Genomic DNA, 19,364 nt, shown 5'->3' with positions numbered 1-19,364 from the left:
CAATACAGAGAGCACCCAGTGTCCCAATATGCTTGTTGCCCCTGGTAGATTATAAACTCCTTGAAGGAAAAGGTTCTGTCTGCGTTTCATGATCTCTCAAGTTGCAGGCTCAGGGCATGGCATGTCAGATGACAGAAAGTGAGCCCTTTAATCTCTCTGGGAAGCTTAATAAAGATTTTATCATCACTTCCTATCTTCCAAAGCATTCTCTACACTGCATCATTGGTATTTTGCCAGAGATGCAAAATTCATCATGTCCCTCTTCCATTCAGGGTCCTTTGGCTACTTATTGTTTATCACCAACTAGTGTTCTCATACCTGTTTCCTCATCTTCAAAATGATGATAATTATGGGAGGATTGTTTTGAGGTCTAAATGAGTATGTGTGTATACACACATGCCCACACCTGGTTATGTATGTGCATACCTCTAGCTCACCAAAATCCTCCTTTCTCCACCCTTGGACCCAGCCATTCTGAATATCTTTTTTCCACTCTTTCACCATGTTTTTTTCTCTCCCTTAGAACTTTTAATATGCTGTTCTCTCTTCTTAAACATCTCTCTCTCTCTCTTTGTTTTTCTTTTTGTGACAGAGTCTTGTTCTATCACCCAAACTGGAATGTGGTGGCGTGATTACATCTCACTGCAGCCTCAACCTCGTGGGCTTAAGCAGTCCTTCCGCCGCAACCTCCTGAGTAGCTGGGACTACAGGTGGTGCCACCATATTCATTTTTAAATTTTTTATTTTATTTTTTTTTTTTAGAGATGGGTCTTGCTATGCTGCCCAGGTTGGTCTTGAAGTCCTGACCTCAAGCAATCCTCCCACCTTGGCCTCCCAAAGTGCTAGCATGTCAGGCATGAGCCACTGTGCCTAGCCCTAGATATTTCTTTTACTGCCGCTCCTGACTTTCTGCTCTTCTTCCTTAAACTTAAATGTTATCTATTCTAAGAAGCTTTCCTAATTTTCCAAGTGTAGGTTAATATAGTGTTTTTTCTAGGTGCTCATTTCTTAATGAAGCATTTATATCTATAGCATCTATAAGTCCTTAAGGTAGCTTAATTTACCAAGCATTTATTACATTGGGCTGTCATTGTCTGTCTACCTGTCAGCCTCTCTCTTACTAAAACTGTCCACTCCATGAGGGCAGGAACCTGTCCGTATGGTTCACTTTGCCTTAGCGCCTAGCCCAGTGCTGGACTCATTAACACGCATTCTAAAATACTTAACAGTATTTCCTGAATGGATGAGTGGATGAATACAGGTTAAGCAGGAAGGTCTGTCCTAGGAATTAAGCTTGGTTGTTAAGTGGTTCCAAGTTTCAATATCATGTGTGGAGTAGATTCTTGCTAATTCTTGTATTATGTGTTATTTAGACACCAGGAATCTGGAATTTCAGAATTCACTTCTAATTCTTCAGATAACCTTTTTTATTTTCTCTTAAAACCTTAGTTTTCCTCATGAATGCAAACATAATTGGAAAATCGTTTCGAATTACTTACATCCTCATTTATGATATTTGAAAAACAGCTTTTGTGGGAGCTCAGCTTTGTCCATAAGAGCAAAGGCTTAGCAAGGGAAATTACTTCAGTGAATCTGTCCTTCGGTATATTGGAGAAAGGGAGGTAAATTAGTCATTATCACTTCAAAATTTTCTATAGAACTACAATGCTTCACGGCTGGACTCGTTTCTGTCTTCCTTCATGGAGTCCTTGCAAGGCCATTCTAGGCCATGGTAATCTCATCTAGGTGTGAACCTCACAGACGTTGTTTGTACTACCCCTGTCTTAAGTCATTCTTGTATACCATCATTATTGTATACCATTATTTGTTTTTCCTGTGTGTTTGTCTTGTATCCTCACGAAGCACCGACCTCTAGAGAATAAAGACTTCACCTCACATCTCTTTCAATACTGCCTGACATCCAGCACAGCTTTATGTAATTTGGTAATTTTTTACAAAGTGAAATATGGTGGCACGTGCCTGTAATCCCAGCTACTCGGGAGGCTGAGACACGAGAATCACTTGAACCTGGGCAGCGGAGGTTGCAGTGAGCCAAGATCATGCCGTTGCACTCCAGCCTGGACAACAGAGACTCCATCTCAAAACAAACAAACAACAACAAAAACAACAACAACAGTGAAATATTAAAGAAAATCTTCAGGTATAATAAGTGAAAAGATAAGACTGACTCCATTTTAAAAATATATATGCAAAGAAGACTAAGAGAATAGTAAAGGATATAGTAAAATGCACAGCCTGAACTATGTTTGGATAGTTGATTATGGGTAACTTGTTTTTTATAATTTTCTAGATTTTCCACTTTTTCTGTAGTCATCTGTTATTTTTGATCAACAAAAAAGTATAAATGTTATTATTTTTTAAAGGAAGAGATTTTCTTCCCCTAGTGTCAGAAGCCACAGCTGAACTTTGTTGGCAGATAGGAGCAGATGTTGTCCTAAACTGTCTCATTGCAGCAAAGTTTATCCATTTGTTAGAACGGTCAGGAAAAGGTGGTGCCAACTGCATTCTTTTGGTGGAAATTTGAAAAGATTTTTTCTGGAAAAGCAGTTAAGGGCAGTGCTGCCATGGTGTGTTTTTGAAAGCTATGCTTAAGAAGTGGGAAAGTTACATAATATGGAGAAATTCAGATGAAAACCCAATTTTCTTAACAAATCTCTTAGAAAATATTGTTGTGACGATATTGTTCAATGCTGTCTGATTTATCTGAGCATATCCTTAGGTCTTTGAGACTGGGTTTCATAGAAAACAGTCTTCAGTGCTTTCTGTGAAGTTGGCAGCTAGGACTCTAGCAGGTGCGGCTCTCATAGCAGTTATCTTTTATTGAGCCTTTTCCCAGTCATTTGTCCATTCACTTGCATTTTCTCATTTAATCTTCACAGCAACCAAAAGAGGCAAGTATTGTTTCTTTGTTTGAATTTTACTGAAGAGAAACCTGCCTTCTAACAGAGGTTAGTTAATTTGCTGAAAGTGACCCAGCACAGGCAGGGGCCAGGCCAAATGTTCAGTGAATGTCTGCTCTGCACCTGGGCCTTCTGCTGGACCCATGGTGACGAACTGTGGGCCCTTGTCTCCAGAAAGCCAAAATAACATCCCTGGGGAGAGAGGATATAAACAGGCAAAAAGAAACCAAGTGAAGAGTCAGGTGACACATTGGGAGAGCAGAGAGGAGCAAGAGCTGGTCAGGAGGCCCTGCCTGGTGTCTAGTGCCTCTGTCCTCCGACCCTGCCCCACCACCATGTCTTTGTTTGTCCTACGTCCACACTGTCTTCACCTGCCCCTGACTTCCACAGGCGGTGGCGGCCTTTCCTGCCCGTCACTGCACTCCTGCTGCTCCTCCAGCTGTTAGCAACTGGTGTGTGTCCTTAGTGTGTGCCGAGTTATCAGTTCTACACGTTATTTTACTCATTCCTCACAACTCCATCATTAAGTCAGAATTTTCATCCCTGCTTTTCAGAGGAAGAAAACAAGGTTTTGAGAGCTCACAGATCATGTTCAGATGGACAGTTAGGAAGTGATGGGCCTGGGCGTAAATCCTGTTTTGTCTGATTCCTAAGGCCTGTGACTCTAACCACCTGCTATAAATGCCTTCATGCACAACTTTATTTGCCCCACACTGCTCATCCTAAAAGAAAAAATGCTGCTCTCCCATGGGAGTCTTTCCTGATGTCTCCTGCAAGAACTCTCTCGGCCCGTGTCCGCCGCTTGCCAATCTTCCTTTACTTCACCGTGATGGGGTCCTGCCCATCCCTTGTTGGACCGTGGGCCCTCTGAGGTGCACTAGTATCCCCCAGGTGCTTTGAATGCAGCAGGCACTCAGGACCATCTGGGATTCTGCAAGATGGAGGGTTTCTGGAGCACCTCCATTACTGAGTAGCTCCGGGGTATGGTTGTGAAAAGAAATTTAATTTTGAAATTCCAAAGAACCAGGTTACTTTTCTATTTCCTGACTTCCTCCCTTAGACTTCATGAGGGAGTGGTTCGGTTGGTATTTGAAAGCTCTGAGCAGCTGCAGTTTTCATTTCACTTTTAAAACAACCAGTGAGTTTTGGTAATTCTCCTAAAGAAGCCTTGGGTGCTGGAGAAGAGATGCTCAGCCAAGGCTGCAGAGGCTTCAGCCACTAGCATGGATGCAGTTGGGAGGGACAAATGCCAGTGTCACATTCATCAGCAGTTCCTTCGCTCACTTCTACCTCTACTGAGAACAGGGAGCTTGGGGTTGAGAAAACGTTTGATGCTTTTGAAATGCTGAGAAATGAAGACATGGTTGTTGTACGAATATGCATGTCCATGCCTGCCGTAGGACAACGTAAGTGTCATGACACTTGTAACCACAAGATGTCAGTATGGGATCAGTCCTAGGGGTCATAGGCTTCAACTCCTGCTTCCAGGAGGAGAAGGCACCGTGGAGGCGCTGGCTCTCCTCGTTTGTTTCCTTCTGCAGCAGTGTTACCCCACAGGCTGCATTTCCGATTCATTTTCCCTGTGCCGTTTTCCATGGGCTCACACCTCATCAGAAGGCTTCTCTTCGCTTTTCTCTCTAAGCTTAAATACTTTCCTCACTCCTACTTATGTCCCAAGTCACCTTAGGAATTCCCCCATTTTGGTGTTATCGCAGCACTCTACTTTAAAAATTTGCAAAAGGATATAAGTTACAGCATAGTTTTATCTCTTATCTAAGGAGGGTTTCAGCATGAGGAAAAAATGGTATCTCTGGTAAGAACAGCACTATTAGGATGTTTTTTCTTTTTTGGTAAAAGCTTAACCTATAGGGAAAATAGCTGAGCAGAGCAAGCAAAAGAGGGAGAAGTGGTGTTCAGGGCAGAACATGTGTCTGTTGAGGCATTTCTGTGCAACATAGGTAGGCTTTTGTAGCCCTCAGAAAGAGGTAGGTATATTGCACCCATTATTCTGATGAAGAAAGATGAATTATAATACCTTTCCTACAACTAGTTAACTACTAGCTGGTAAACTAGTGGCATAGCCTGGAAACTAGTGGCATAGCCTGGATTTGGAGTCCGGTCTGTTTGTCGCAGAGCCTGTGACCCCCAAAAGCCTGGGAGTGTTACTCTTGTCTCTATCATAAAGCAAGGAGGAGTCTTAAGAATCCATTCAGGAGTTTCAGCAAATATCTCCCCAGAGACCTGGCTACATGGAAGATGCCATGTTGTGAATAATACAGAGACCTATTAAATATATTATTTGCCCTCAAGAAGCTAAATAAAGTCAAGGAGGGGGGTAGGAAAAGACATGTAAATTCAGCTCAGTATAAATCAATCAGAGGATGGTAACATTTCCATGAAGTGGTTGGAGGGGCAGCAAAGCAGAGGGGAAGGGCCACGGTCCAGGGTGAGTTCTGTCCCATCTATGAGCAATTTGTAGGATCTGCCTTCAATAAATCTACCAAATGAAAAGAGTGTTGCTAAGGTCGCGTTTACCCCAACATTCTGAGATTCTAAGGTGGAATATGAGAAGGGGCATAATCCAAGCCGGCAGAGGTTGCCACCCTACGTGCCTTTGTCCCCCAGACACGGTAAGATTATGCTTAATCCTCTCTTTAGGTGGTCTGGTCCAAGGAGGACAGGTGGAAGCAAGGCAGGAGGTACAGTGTGGCTTGTCAGCGCCGGTTCCAGTGTCCTGGCCCATGGCTTAGATGCAGAGGAGAATGGCTTTGCTTCTGGAAAGATTTGGTAGGGAAAATAGCAGAGGGCTTCTGGAGTATAACTTTAGAAGTACTGTGTCAGTGTGAAGAACTTGGCAAGGATAAACAGAGGAGCCACAAGGATGACTGAACATTTGAAAAATAAGACCTGAGAGGAGAGGTTAGAGAAACAGGGCTTATGTAACCTGGAGCTGCTCAGAGGTGACTTTGGCAGGCTTCTTCAAGAACAGGACTCTCAGGATCTCTGCACAGACAGCAATGACTGGCCCTTTTTGTCCATATCAAGTGAGGACAGACTCCAACTGAACCACGAAAATTTTAGATTTCATCTGTGGAAAAGTTTTCCCCTCGCAGCAGCTGTAAAATGTGGAATACATCATGGAGCGAAGTTTATAGAATTTTCTCTTCTTCCTGTCTTTCAAAAAAACCACCAGAACACAGTAGAACCTTTTTATAATTGCGATGCTGGAGGACAGGCTTAATTTCCCACCATAGAATATGTTGTATTCAGCCTCTGCTGTATTTGGGGGGATGTGACTGGTACAGAGCATATCAGGTTTCTCAGAACAGTGAATCATGTTAGTTGTAATAATGGGTTCTGGATAGGATGACTGTATAATTTTTCCCTTAATCTGCAACACTTTGGAGAGTGAAATGGGGTGCTGTTAATAATGATGCTAGGACAACGGGTATAAAGTGGCACTGTCCCTGGCAAAGTGTGACATGTAGTCACCGTGATTCTGGGGCCGTCTTTTCAGAGGGATCCTCTTAAAATAGAAATCTTGTGTTCTCTCCTGCTAAGACTGTCCTGTGTCTTTCCATTGCACTAGAATGAAACCCACACTCCCAACGGTGGCCCACAAGGGCCTGTGAAAGCTGGCTCCTGCCTTCCCCAGCCTCATCCCCACACTAACTGGATTCTGTGACCATGCACCCAGCACATTTCCGCCTCCAGGCCTGTGCCCTGGCCGACTCCTCCTCCAGGAGCTGTTTCTCAGTATCCTTGCCCACCCCCATCCTGCCCTTGGCCTCGCTGGCTCGTTCTACCCCTTCCTGTCTTGGCTGGAACATCATCTCCATGGAAAGGCTTTTCCTATCCTCCGTGTTGCTTTTCTCCTTTTCATCTCCCTGCCCGTTTCCTTCATAGAGGTAATTGCTTATCCACTTTGGGAGGCTGAGGTGGGCGGATCACCCGAGATCAGTTCGAGACCAGACTGACCAACATGGTGAAACCCTGTCTCTACTAAAATTACAAAAAATTAGCCAGACGTGGTGGCAGGCACCTGTAATCCCAGCTACCTGGAAGGCTGAGACACAAGAATCGCTTGAACCCCGGAGGTGGAGGTTGCAGTGAACCGAGATCGTGCCACTGCACTCCAGCCTGGGCAACAGAACGAGACTCTGTCTCAAACAAACAAACAAACAACAACAACAAAAACAAAGAAGTAATCACTTATCATTTGCTGGTCTTTTTCACCAAAATGTACACATCACGAGGGCAGGATTTCACTGGTGAGCCCACAAGTATCTGGCCAGTGCTGCACTCATGTGCCTAGGACATGGCTGCTGGAAAATAGATGTGGAATGGATGACTCACTGCCTGCAGTTCCACATGGATTAATTCATCTCCTGACTTCCCTTTGCACCCAGAAGGTCTGTGTTTCTAAAATATGAATCAGCTGTATAAGTTTTTTTGTTCAACAGAATTGGTTGAACGGCGACAGTATGTACAATCCTATGCTGGAAGAAGCCGAAAACAGCCCTTATTGTTTGAGAACATAGAGGATCTAGCTGAAGAGGAAACAAAACATTAACTAAGTTAAATAATGGCTTTTTTTTTTTTTTTTTTCTGAAACAGAGTCTCACTGTCGCCTAGGCTGGAGTACAGTGGTGTGATCTCAGCTCACTGTAACCTCTGCCTCCCAGGTTCAAGCAATTCTCCTGCCTTAGCCTCCTGAGTAGTTGGGATTACAGGCACCCACCACCATGCCTGGCTAATTTTTGTATGTTTAGTAGAGATGGGGTTTCACCGTATTGGTCAGGCTGGTCTCGAACTCCTGACCTTGGGTGATCCACCTGCCTCAGCCTCCCAAAGTGCTGGAATTATAGGTGTGAGCCATTGGGCCCGGCCAGATAATGGCATATTTAACCTAAGTGCCAGTGAAGAGAGTAGGATGGCTGTCACTTTCATCCCTTCCCCTGTTCTGTTTCTCTTCCTGGAAGTTACCATCTGACATAGTACACATAACAATGTATACTTAGTGATGTCCTTATTGACCCTTGTCCTTCCCAGAATGTAAATCCTCTTTTTTTGTCATTCACTGCCATATTTCTAGTGCCTAGAACAGTACCTGGCACATAGTAGGTCTTCGATAAATATTGGTTGAATGAAAGAATGAATGATACAAAAGAAAGCAGAGAACGATCCCCTGGGCTGCCTTTTGGACTTCAACAGGCTCTTTAGGGAGGGATTGTGTTTGACTCCACTGAGGAGTGGAGGGAGAGCAGTCAAAAATGACATAATGGCATGAGTAAGGGCAGGGGGAGCCAGCAGGTACATGAGGGTGATGTATTTGGTCTAGAAAACAAACCAGTAAGCTTTCAGTGTTGTTTCTTGAACTCACAAACAATGCCCCCTTGGCCCCTGTCCCTTCATCCTCACTCATTTGGTCTGGGTGAGACCCAAGGCAAAGGTGTCAGGGGAAGGCTGGCTGCCACACACATTCCTTGGTGTTGGCATTAAAACAGCAGAGTGAAAATAGCCAGCCTCAGAAACATGTGGGCAGCCGTGAATGTCCCACTATTCTAGGGATTAAAATTCAGTTTATGGGTTGTTCAGGCCTCTTAGCTCTCTTTCCTCTGAATCCCCATTCTGTCGGTTTCACCACCTGTTTTTAACTCCTTCAGAGGTTGGAAAAGAAAGAGGTAAGTAAGTGACTTGATGCATCATCAAGAGCTCCAGGCTGACCTCAGAGGCATTGCTCCATCAGAAGCCACTGGGGCGAGGGGCATGGGTTTTACCTCTGACCAAGGGCAGTCCAGTCTGCAGCAAAGAAAGGCAGAGGGAAATGGCCAACTGGCTTGGTCTGAAGGCACCGGCAGCTTTCAGCATGCAGTTCACTCCTGCGGGGCTCAGAGGCTCTATAGTGCCCTCATTAAAATGCCGTCACTGTCTGGAAGAGGAGCAGCTACTGTTAGAGGAGGCCTAGCTGAGATGAGGGCCCTGTGGGGTTATAAGCATGATGAGATGCCCGGGCCTGTGGTGGGTGTGAGGGGAGAGGCAGGGACCTGGAGCCTGGGGAGCAGGGGGGACCTAGAGCATCTCCATCACAGCAGTTATTTTTCAGGGACGATCCTGAGCATGGGCAGGTCCCCTTCATGGTGCCAGAGCTGACAATACAAAGAGGGCTTGCACAAAAAGGATCCACAGCCTCTGCTGGGACGAGGGTGTGTTTCAGGCCTGCTGTAAGCACAGTATCCTTATCTAAACACATGCCAGTCCTTTTCCGGAGAAAAGACAAAACAGTGTCTGAGTATGTATAGTTTTTACAGTTTCAAAGTATTGTATAATTTATTATAAAATATTTCATAAATATTTTAAACATACAGAAAATAATGCCATAGGCACCCATTGTGTATTTAGCATCTTGCTTTAACATGTATCTCAGAGCATCTGTTCCCTAATTGTTTTAAACAAACTTTTTATTTTAGAAAAAATCACAAAGATAGTACAGTTCTTATATATTCCCATGCCGAGTTTTCCCTATTATTAATGTCTTACATTAGTGTAGTCTATTTGTTACAATTAATGAACCAAATTGATGCATTGTCAGCTATTCTTTATTCAGATTTCTTCGTTTTCCCCTAATGTCATTTTTCTGTTCCAGGATCCTGTATTAACATTTAGCCACTATGCCTCCTTAAGCTTATCTTGGTTGTCTCAGTTCAGTTCCCTAATGTTTAAAATGGAATGATACCATCTTTCCCACGTGGTTGTTGGACTTGCCCAAGAAAAGCTATGCCGAGGTGCTTCGAGGACTCTGAAGCTCTGTCAGTAGCTCTCAAACTTGAGCTGCGTCAGAATTTTTAGCATGGGACTTGTTAAAATGTAGGTTGCACTGCCCCCTACCCCTACACACACACACACACACACACACACACACACATACACACTTTCTGCTTTTGCTGGGTCTGAGGAGTGGCAGGAGCTGAGAATTTGGCAGGATCCTGGGGGCTGCTGCTCCAGGACCGCACTTTAAACCACTGCTCTCTGCAAATGTAAGGGTTGATCCTTGTTGAGTGGGTGAGCCCACCATCTTTATGCCACTCCCTTCCCAATAACAGACTGTGTTTTCAGAGAACATAGTTTCCTGTTTACTTCTGTTCTAGAAACTCCTTGAAGACTGTCTCACAACCCCAGAGTAGAGAGACATTCCGTTCTCTAACACCCAGGTTTATTACTGCTGTCTAGGACCTATATACTAGTCTGTTTCCGTGCTGCTGTTAAAGACATACCGAAGACTGGGCAATTTACCAAAGAAAGAGGTTTAATGAACTTACAGTTTCACGTGACTGGGGAAGTCTCACAATCATGGTGGAAGGCAAGGAGGAGCAAGTCATGTCTTACATGGATGGCAGCAGGCAAAGAGAGAGAGCTTGTGCAGGGAAACTCCCCTTTTTAAAACTATCAGATCTTTTGAGACTTATTCACTGTCACAACAACAGCATGGGAAAGACTTGCCCCCATGATTCAATTACCTCCCACCAGGTCCGTCCCACAACACATGGGAATTCAAGATGAGATTTGGGTGGGGACACAGCCAAACCATATCAACCCATAAGATGGTTCATCAGAAATGGAGAGAGAACCCCTGCTTGTGTTACTGTCACAATGCCATTTGTGTCACTGTTCAATGGCTTGGGTGATGGGAGGGTTACTGGGAACCAGTAGCCAGTGCTCTCTTAGGAAAACCAAATGCAATTGGCATTTTCCTATTCCTTTCCTTTATCTGTTAAGAAAGAAATCTCTTAACTGGCAGTAAAGAGAGCATGCATTCCCCACCCCCACCCCCACCATGTAATTTTAGCATCTATTTGGATGGCTGTTGGAAGCTTGGATTTTAAACCACTGTATTTTTACAGCTGTAGAATCCACTGCCTCAGTTGATTTAACTAGCAGCCATGGGTTTGTTTTCTGGCCTAGTTCTGCCACTGGTTGCTTTTGGAAAATTTTTTCTTGGGCCTATTTCTAAGAAAGTGTTACTGTAATTTTTATTTAGATATTGATGGCAGTCTGTTCTTCTTGCCAGCCACACCCTAATTCTGAATAGTAGTGGACATGTGATGGATAATTCATATACTTAAGCCATGAAGATTAAAGGTAGCTGAGTGAATTGGAATCACAGTCTAAAAGGGAGATTTCCTCAGCCCTGGTCTCTCTGTGGCCAGCAATCAGATAGGATTAAAGACCTGTGGACCCCTCCTTGTGATGTCCCTCATAGAATTACTATCCTTGACCACCTCATCAGATCCTGCAGCCCGTTACTATGTGTCATCTAATCTAAGATTACTAAACTGCTTTGGTCATTTCAGTGCCGTGGTTCTAGAAGCGTGGTTCTGAGATCAGTCAGCAGCATCATCGTCACCTGGGAGCTTGTAAAAAATGGAAATTCTCAGGGCCCACCCTATAGCTACTAAATCAGGAGCACTGGGGATGCCTGCCCTACCCCCCCAACCCCCGCTATCCTGAGCTGTAACAGGCCTCCAGGTGATTCTGATGCACACTCAAGTTTGAGAGGCCATCCTGAATGGCCCTCCTATTTTTTCCTCCCACTGTCTTCTTTAATCACTGAACAACATTCTTTTATGTATTCCATTAGTATTTAGCAAGCAGGCCCTATGCTAGGTCTGGTTCCTATTTAGCAAGCAGGCCCTGTGCTAGGTCTGGTTCAAAGGTGAACAGCCCTGGGGCTTGTCCCCAGGGAGCTTAGCACAGCAGTGGTTCTCAGCCCTGACTGCACATGAGAGTCACCGGGGGTGCACTCAGGTGTCTCAGTGGGTGTTTCATGCCAGATCAAATTAAACTGGAATCACTGGGGCTATAGCAAGGAGCCGCTACTTGATAAACCTACCCAGGCTGAGAAACATGGAGCTAGTGGGAGAGAATGCCCATCAGGAGGTTTCAAACCATGGGGTAAGTGTGAAGATGGGGCAACTAAAAGGAGCAGATGGGAGGGTCACTTTACCCAGGCTTAGGTTGTGGTGGGAAAAAGGAGGGAGAAGTATCTGCAAAACTTTCTTCAAATTGTATTTAAAGGTAAACTAAAAGAAAGATAAAAAACGTGGTTTAAATACAGATCCACAAGTGACTTTAAAATGACTCATGGAGGAGAAGAGTCTCAAGAGATGTTGCTTCCTTCTGCAATGCATGTCCATCAACCTCTGTCCACATCTCAACCCTCAGTAGTGGTGGGTTGCAAAGGGCCAGCTGAGGCCACACCCAAAGTGGCTGACATACCCTTTGACCTTGTAGTCCTCCCTCCACTGGAAATGCCAGTTCTGGCTTTGTCTTAAGGACCACCTGGACACCAAGAAACTCCCTCTTCCCTCCTATCTGTCTTTAAGAGGAGGCAGCCCAGGGGTGCAGCCCACACCCTTCAGTGGCCTTAATTGGCTGACCTATCAACAACAAATTTGTATCCCAAGAATTTCAGTCGTTTCTTTTCTATCCTTTAAGAGGGGTTTTTTGGTTTTGTTTTTTAAAGAAAAAAAGAGTGTTTACTTAATTTCTTCTTCATGAGTCCCTCCATTTTTGATTCAGAAGGTCAGGTAGGGAGATTTAATGTGAAATATTAGCTGTCTTTGCCAATTGCTGTGCCCTGTTACCATGCTGTAAGCCAGAAATAGAAGCGACCTGTTTTCAATGACAGATCAAAATTTAGTGCTGTGTTGATGGTTCAGAATGAAGATTTTTTGACACGGTGAATGAAATACATACCAGTGCATTTCTGGTTGTGATTTAGCTGACCAAGTAGTTCAGTTATAATTATATTATTTTTACTCCTGGAGATCATTACTCTAAATGAAAAATGCTTCAGCATCCAGACTGTTAAGATGTGGATGGTGAACATTATTTACAATAAAAAAATTTTTTCCCTGGACTGTGAAACAGCTTTACGGGCATGTCGAGCCTGGAATATGGTTGTTAGCATTTAAAGTTAAATGAAAACATGGAAGTTTTTTTGGTTTTAAAAAATAAACTCAACTGTCAGTTATTGTTTGCTGCCTTCTGTGACCCATCTCCCATCCCTTAAGTCCCTTTTAATGGAATGGGGAGACACATCTAGGCAATATATGGTCGACATAAATCTGAGGACATGAATATTATAAAAGGGCGTTGAGAAGAAGGGCTGGAGAGAGAGGCTGGAGGGGTTTGTTTATCATTTTTTATGAGGGCCCATGCTCTTTGGGATTGAAGTATCTTTTAATAGTAGGTGTAGGTTTGATTTGATCTCTGGGTCACTATGTTGTTTTTTGGGCAGATATTTCCCTGCGCTCTGATTACCAAGGTGTTAGAAGAATTTAAAATGTCCTCTCACCCTCAGTTAAAAAGCCGTGTGTTTATAAGGGTCAAAGATGACGTAAATGTTTACCAAGCCCAATGGTGTTCTCATCATGACACCTTTCTTCCTCCTCACTTGTAATATAAGAAAACAGAAGCTGACGTTTGTCATGTTCAGAAGTCCTTGCGTGAAGTGTTTTAAACCAACCAAATATGAGATTAATGTCTCCTTGTTATCACTACCTTTTTGTGCAGTATAATGATTAAATAACAGTTGTGCAATGCATTCTAAAACTCAAAAGTTTAAACCTAGACTTCATTAGAAGTCATTGGACTAAATCTGAAATGTAAACTTTCAAGAGACTATAATTGAATAGATTTAACCTATACTTATGAAAAGGAGAAATCTCTAGGTGATTATCTTTTTTTCCTTCTCTCTAAGGACCTTTTTCCTAAACGCTGCAGGTCTCTTGTCTGTTGACTTGATTAATGAATATTTTGCCCGCTAAAATTGGCCATTAATTATTTTCTTGGGTTGCGGCAATAATTACATCTTTCAAGTAAAATCTCATTAGCATCGTAAGCAGAAACACCCTGCCAGGTGATGTGGGATTGTGAGGAGCCCGCTAGTTACCACCAGAGATACTGGGTTCACCACACAGTAAGCAGCAGTTGTCTCTAGCTGGATCCCAGCAGCTACATGTAGAGAAAATTGACTAGATCACCCCAGAATGGGAATTCAGACAAAGCTCTGTAGACACTCTTGTTAGAAAATACGACCTACTGGCATGCAGTTGTGATGTCGTTTAATAATTGAGAATCCTCTTACCTTTCATTCATTTATTCTTTCAGTGATCATGATTATTTACCAGCCCTTGTGCTAAATGCTAGGGACAGGAAAGAAACAAGTTGCTGGCTTTTGGAGAAGCTGAGTCTGTTGGGAACAAAGCACTTTAAAATGTAATCTATCTTTTTAATATACCTGACTATTAAGGCAGATTCTACCATGTAGCTTCATGGAATGTTTTGTAGAGGAGGTGACTTTTATAGTGGACTTTGGATGATGGGTTTGAGGATGACCACAGAAAAGCAGGTGAGGACGAGGTGTTCTGGGTAGCATGTGTTACAAAGGCATATCATTCTAGGCCCCCAAAGAATAGAAGAGAATTAAATATGGGGGCTATTTATAGGGGTGTGGCAGGGTAAGAGATGTTGAGGCACCCGGGACCTAGGAACAGCAGAAGGCTGAAGGGGAAGGGGAGGTGATGCTGTGAACAGAACCTGGAGAGTGGCAGCCTTGCAAGGGGGACGACCGCCCTCCCAGAGCTGTGGCCCTAGGTGGAGCATAGCAGCTGCTTCCAAAACCATGCCTAGCTAGGAGGGAGTAGGAGAACAAATACTGGACCACCCTCTCCTTTCACCCCCTGATTTTCTCTGAACCTAACCAAAGGCAAGAGAGACTGTGTAAAACAGTGCTTGGCACAGGGAACAGGACACAGAAAGGCAAACAGGATAATCAGAACCAAAGGTATAGAGTGTAGATGAGGTATGTGCAGAGGACGGGAAGAAGTTAGGAGTTGCTGGAGTGTAGGGGGCATGTAGAGAACTAGAGATGAGTTTGAATAATTTGATTGATGAAGCCAAATTGCAAATGATCTTCTATGTTTTACCTAAATCTCTTATCATGTAAGCAATAAAGAGCCATGTGTGGGAGTGGACTTAACACATGACATTATTGATTTGTAATTCAGCAAGATTTGAATTTTTTTGAAGTCACCATTTAGGACTCATTAGTCAGTGACAACATCAATTTAATGGGTTGTCATAACATTTTTAAAAAACGCAATGGTGACCGGGTGTGGGTGTGGTGGCTCACGCCTGTGATCCCAGCACTTTGGGAGGCTGAGGCAGGCAGATCACGAGGTCAGGAGATCGAGACCAGCCTGGCTAACACGGTGAAACCCCGTCTCTACTAAAAATACAAAAACTTAGCTGGGCGTGGTGACATGCGCCTGTAGTCCCACCTACTCGGGAGGCTGAGGCAGGAGAATTGCTTGAACCTGGGAGGCGGAGGTTGCAGTGAGCCGAGATCGTGCCACTGCACTCCAGCCTGGGCGACAGAGCGAGACTCTGTCTCAAAAAAAAAAAAAAGCAATGGTATTATCAGGGTACATCACATATGGTGAAGTTTAGTAATGTTTTGTGAAACTTTCGTATGTTTGTGTCTGGAGGGGTGTACTGGTTATGATTTAAAATGTATGTCTTACTGTGAGTTGCATCAAAAATACTGTAAAAACACTGAACTGATTGGCTAAAGTAGGAAGGTGTGGGCTGAAGGGAGGAGAGATTGACAGGCAGAGTAGTTGTAGATACTCAGCAACTACCTTTTTTTTTTTTGAAAGTATGTTATCTCTGCATTCCTTTTAAAACCAAGCCATAGAAATGAAGACGCAGTATCTTTATTATATTGAATCCATGTCTAGAGCATTAAACCTCATCTTAAGTAAGCCTAGAAAATCCATCAGAGTCTCTGCCTTCCATTTGTGGAAACTCAGCTGATAGTAAGGTTTACCAAATCCCAGAGGTCTCCCGAGCTTCTCTGAGGAATCTGATGTCTTGTGATTACCTTGATAATGTCTGTTTTACTTAACCATGATAGAAAGTTTTGCATTTGACTTGAATGTGTGATAAAATCATTTAAATGTATCTTGGTTTTATAAATTGAAAGGCTTTCCTTTATGTATAAAACAAGTTAGTTGATCACACAGTTTGTAGTGAATCAGAATGGCTTTTAATAAACTCAGCTTAAAGCTAGCCAAAAGGTTTTCTATCTCTACTGAAAAGTCATATGGCTCTTTGGAAAAACTTTTGAAGAACTTTTCTGATGCAAGTCCCTACTCTTGCAAGAGAAAAATCATAATCTGAGTGCATGTGTGCACTCAAGTTCCAAGGATAGCAAAGTAAAATGAAATCTAAGTTCTTTATGCAAATAATTCAGGTTTCTGTTTTAGTGTATAGTTTAAGCCTTCTCTTCCCAGAGATTATTTGCCAGAGAGACTAATGAGTTAAGATGTGGCTGCACTGGGTTATTCCTGCTGGAGAGACAATGACTCTCAGACCACCTTGTCTTGGAAGCTGGGGTAGGACCTTAGAATTTATACTGGAATTGCTCAATTAAAATGTATGATTCACACAGTGGCTCACACCTATAATCCCAGAACTTTGGGAGGCCAAGGTGGGAGGATTCTTTTTTTAATTCACTGAGCATAGTGGTGCACGCCTGTAGTCCCAGCCACTCAGGAAGCTGAGGTGGGAGGATCTCTTAAGCCAGGAGATTGACGTTGCAGTGAGCCATGTTTGTGCCACTGTACTGCAGCCGGGGCAACAGACACTATCTCTAAAAAAAATAATAATAATTAATTTTAAAAATAAATAATTAAAATGTATGATTCTCACTTAAAGCTTGTGAGGGAGTTGGTGCATATATCATTATCTTTTCACAGGTAAAGAAACTGACTTGATGAAAGCTCTAAGCTAGAAATAGTTAGAACCTGGACTAGAACCTCTGGTGTTTTTTAAGATCAGTCACCCAAAGGAGAAATTTAATAAAAGATGCAGGTGCAGTAACAGTGTTGCAGCTTCTGTCGTGGGTTCTGATTTCCATCAGAATTTGTCTAAATATTTCATCCCAGTGCTTCCAAAGCATTCCAGCATTCTATGAAGCACTTTTTAGCGAGGAAAAAAAAGAACTCTAGTGGGGAATGCTAGTAATGGGAGAGGCCATGCATGGGGTGGGAGCAAAAGTATATGGGATATCTCTGTACCTTCCTCTCCATTTTGCTGTGAACCTAAAACTGCTCTTTTAAAAAGTCTAATTTTTAAGTCTTTTTAAAAAAGGGAAAGAGGCATGTCTCAGACCTGTATGCTTTCCCATCCAGCTGGTCACCTGGTCAATTTGTATTGATTCCTGCCACCATGGCAATGAGGCCAAAACCAACCACTTAATTCAGAGAGTTGCCTGCCAGCCCCAAGAGCAACCTTAGTGTCCAGAAATAATTTTTTTTTTTTTTGAGATGGAGTCTCACTCTGTTGCCCAGGCTGGAGTGCAGCGGCATGATCTCGGCTCACTGCAACCTCCGCCTCCCGGGTTCCAGTGATTCTCCTGCCTCAGCCTCCCCAGTAGCTGGGATTACAGGCACACACCACCACACCTGGCTAATTTTTGTATTTTTAGTAGAGACAGGGTTTCACCATGTTGGTCGGATTGATCTCGAACTCCCTACCTCAGGTGATCCTCCCACCTCACCACACCCGGCTAATTTTTTTTATTTTCAGTAGAGATGGGGTTTCATCATGTTGGCCAGACTGGTCTCGAACTCCTAACCTCAGGTGATCTGCCCACCTCGGCCTCCCGAAGTACTGGGCATGAGAAATATTTGGGTCCAGAAATAATTCTATGCCTAGAGTCAGACGTGGGCAATCAAAAACATAAACTTTATTGGAAAGATCAGGAATAGCATACTTTTACCTGCTCCTAAGTTATGGGGCTGTTGACATCCCATTGCAGTAGCTGGATAGCACTTAAAGAGTGGGAATTAGGCAAGGTGGGGTGCCTGGAAAGTGTTCCATGTGCTTCTGGGGCCATGTAAGATGATGTTGGGTCATACAAGAACAAAAATGTTTTATGCTAATAGTTACATAATGCTTATTTTAATTTTGTCATAAAAAATCCATGTTCATTTATGGAAGAGATATAATAAAATCACCTTAAAAGTTAAAATACAAAGGAAAGGCCACCTGGCAATTTAATTAGAGAGCATTGTTACTGAACAGTGTTTCAGGGCTCCATGCTATGAAACAAGTTATTTCTACTCAGGGGAAGCAGCAAATGTGGTCAAATAGCACATACTTTGAAGTCAGACAAACCCAGATTTAAGGCTTTATCTCCTGGTCCTGTGATTTGGGCCTTTTCTGAGCTTTATATTTTCCTCTGGGAAGTGGGGTGGGTCAGGAGATATCTCCCTTACAGGATTTTCATGAGGACTGCACACAGAAAGCAATTCATTTTGTATTGACCCATAGTAGACACGCAGTGATAGTAATAATATCTTTATTATCAGTTATTATTGCTACTTGAGAACTATTGATTGTTCACAAATGTAGTCCCACAACGCAAGCACTAAATGCTTTCAGACCTTACTACCTAAAATAATAATGGTACCTAGTGGGTAAGTTTTTGGTGTTTGGGGTTTTTGTTTTTTGTTTTTTTTGAGACACAGTCTTGCTCTGTTGCCCAGGCTGGAGTGCAGTGGTGCCGTCTTGGCTCACTGTGACCTCCGCTTCCCAGGTTTAAGTAATTCTCCTGACTCAGCCTCCTGAGTAGCTGGGACTACAGGAGCACACCACCACGCCTGGCTGATTTTTGTATTTTAGTAGAGATGGGGTTTCACCAAGTTGGGGTGATCCAGCTGCCTCTGCCTCCCAAAGTGCTGGTATTACAGGCATGAGCCACTGAGCCTGGCCCCTAGTGGGTAAGATTTATTAAGTATTTATCATGTACCAGCCACTGTGCTCTGTGCTGTCTATGGCTTATCTCTTTTAATCCTCTTAATAACCTCTTCATGTGTAGGAGCCATGAGTCACTGTCATCTTTATCTGCTGAGAAACTTGCTCAAGTCACACAGAAAGTAGCAGACTGTCAGTAACTACCATCTTACATTGTCTAAAGAAATTTAAGCCTTTTTTTTTTTTTTTTTAAGCAACAGAAAGTCCAGAGTTAATTCCCAGAAGTCCTTCCACAGAAGCCAAGATTGTCAGGAGCCATCTGCCAAGTGCCAGATAACTGAGAAGGTCCAGGGACTTCCCAGACACCCAAATTCACACCATCAGCGAGATCAATTGAGTTACAGCTCAGCATGCTCCCCTACTCATTAGCAAGTAGAATGAATACACAACTTGCACAGAATCAGGAACGATAAATCCCCAGCTAGCACATAACCTCTGTGGCCCACGAACCTGAACACTGTGTTCCTGGCTGCCACCTGGGTGTGGAGTCGGCAGGCATAATGCTCTAGCCAGCCTGGCAGAGCCTCTTGGACCAGAATTTGACCTGAGTAAGCTGTG

General features: G+C 43.4%; 1 protein-coding gene across 5 annotated transcripts in view; it reads left to right on the top strand.

Moving 5' to 3' along the window:
- Nucleotides 1-19,364, top strand: part of JAZF1 (JAZF zinc finger 1) — a 350,219-nt gene that overhangs the window by 155,916 nt on the left and 174,939 nt on the right. For 2 of the 5 annotated variants that reach the window (XM_047420025.1, XM_047420027.1), the window contains exon 1: nucleotides 5,498-5,551. The exons of the other annotated variants lie outside the window; for them this stretch is intronic. The gene's annotated coding sequence lies outside the window, so the exon portion shown is untranslated. Of the gene's footprint in view, nucleotides 1-5,497; nucleotides 5,552-19,364 lie in introns of those variants that run through there. 5 annotated transcript variants of the gene reach the window in all.

This window comes from Homo sapiens, chromosome 7 (assembly GCF_000001405.40).
Source record: "Homo sapiens chromosome 7, GRCh38.p14 Primary Assembly".
Classification (NCBI taxonomy): domain Eukaryota; kingdom Metazoa; phylum Chordata; class Mammalia; order Primates; family Hominidae; genus Homo; species Homo sapiens.
This window is presented reverse-complemented; position numbering and strand designations above follow the sequence as displayed.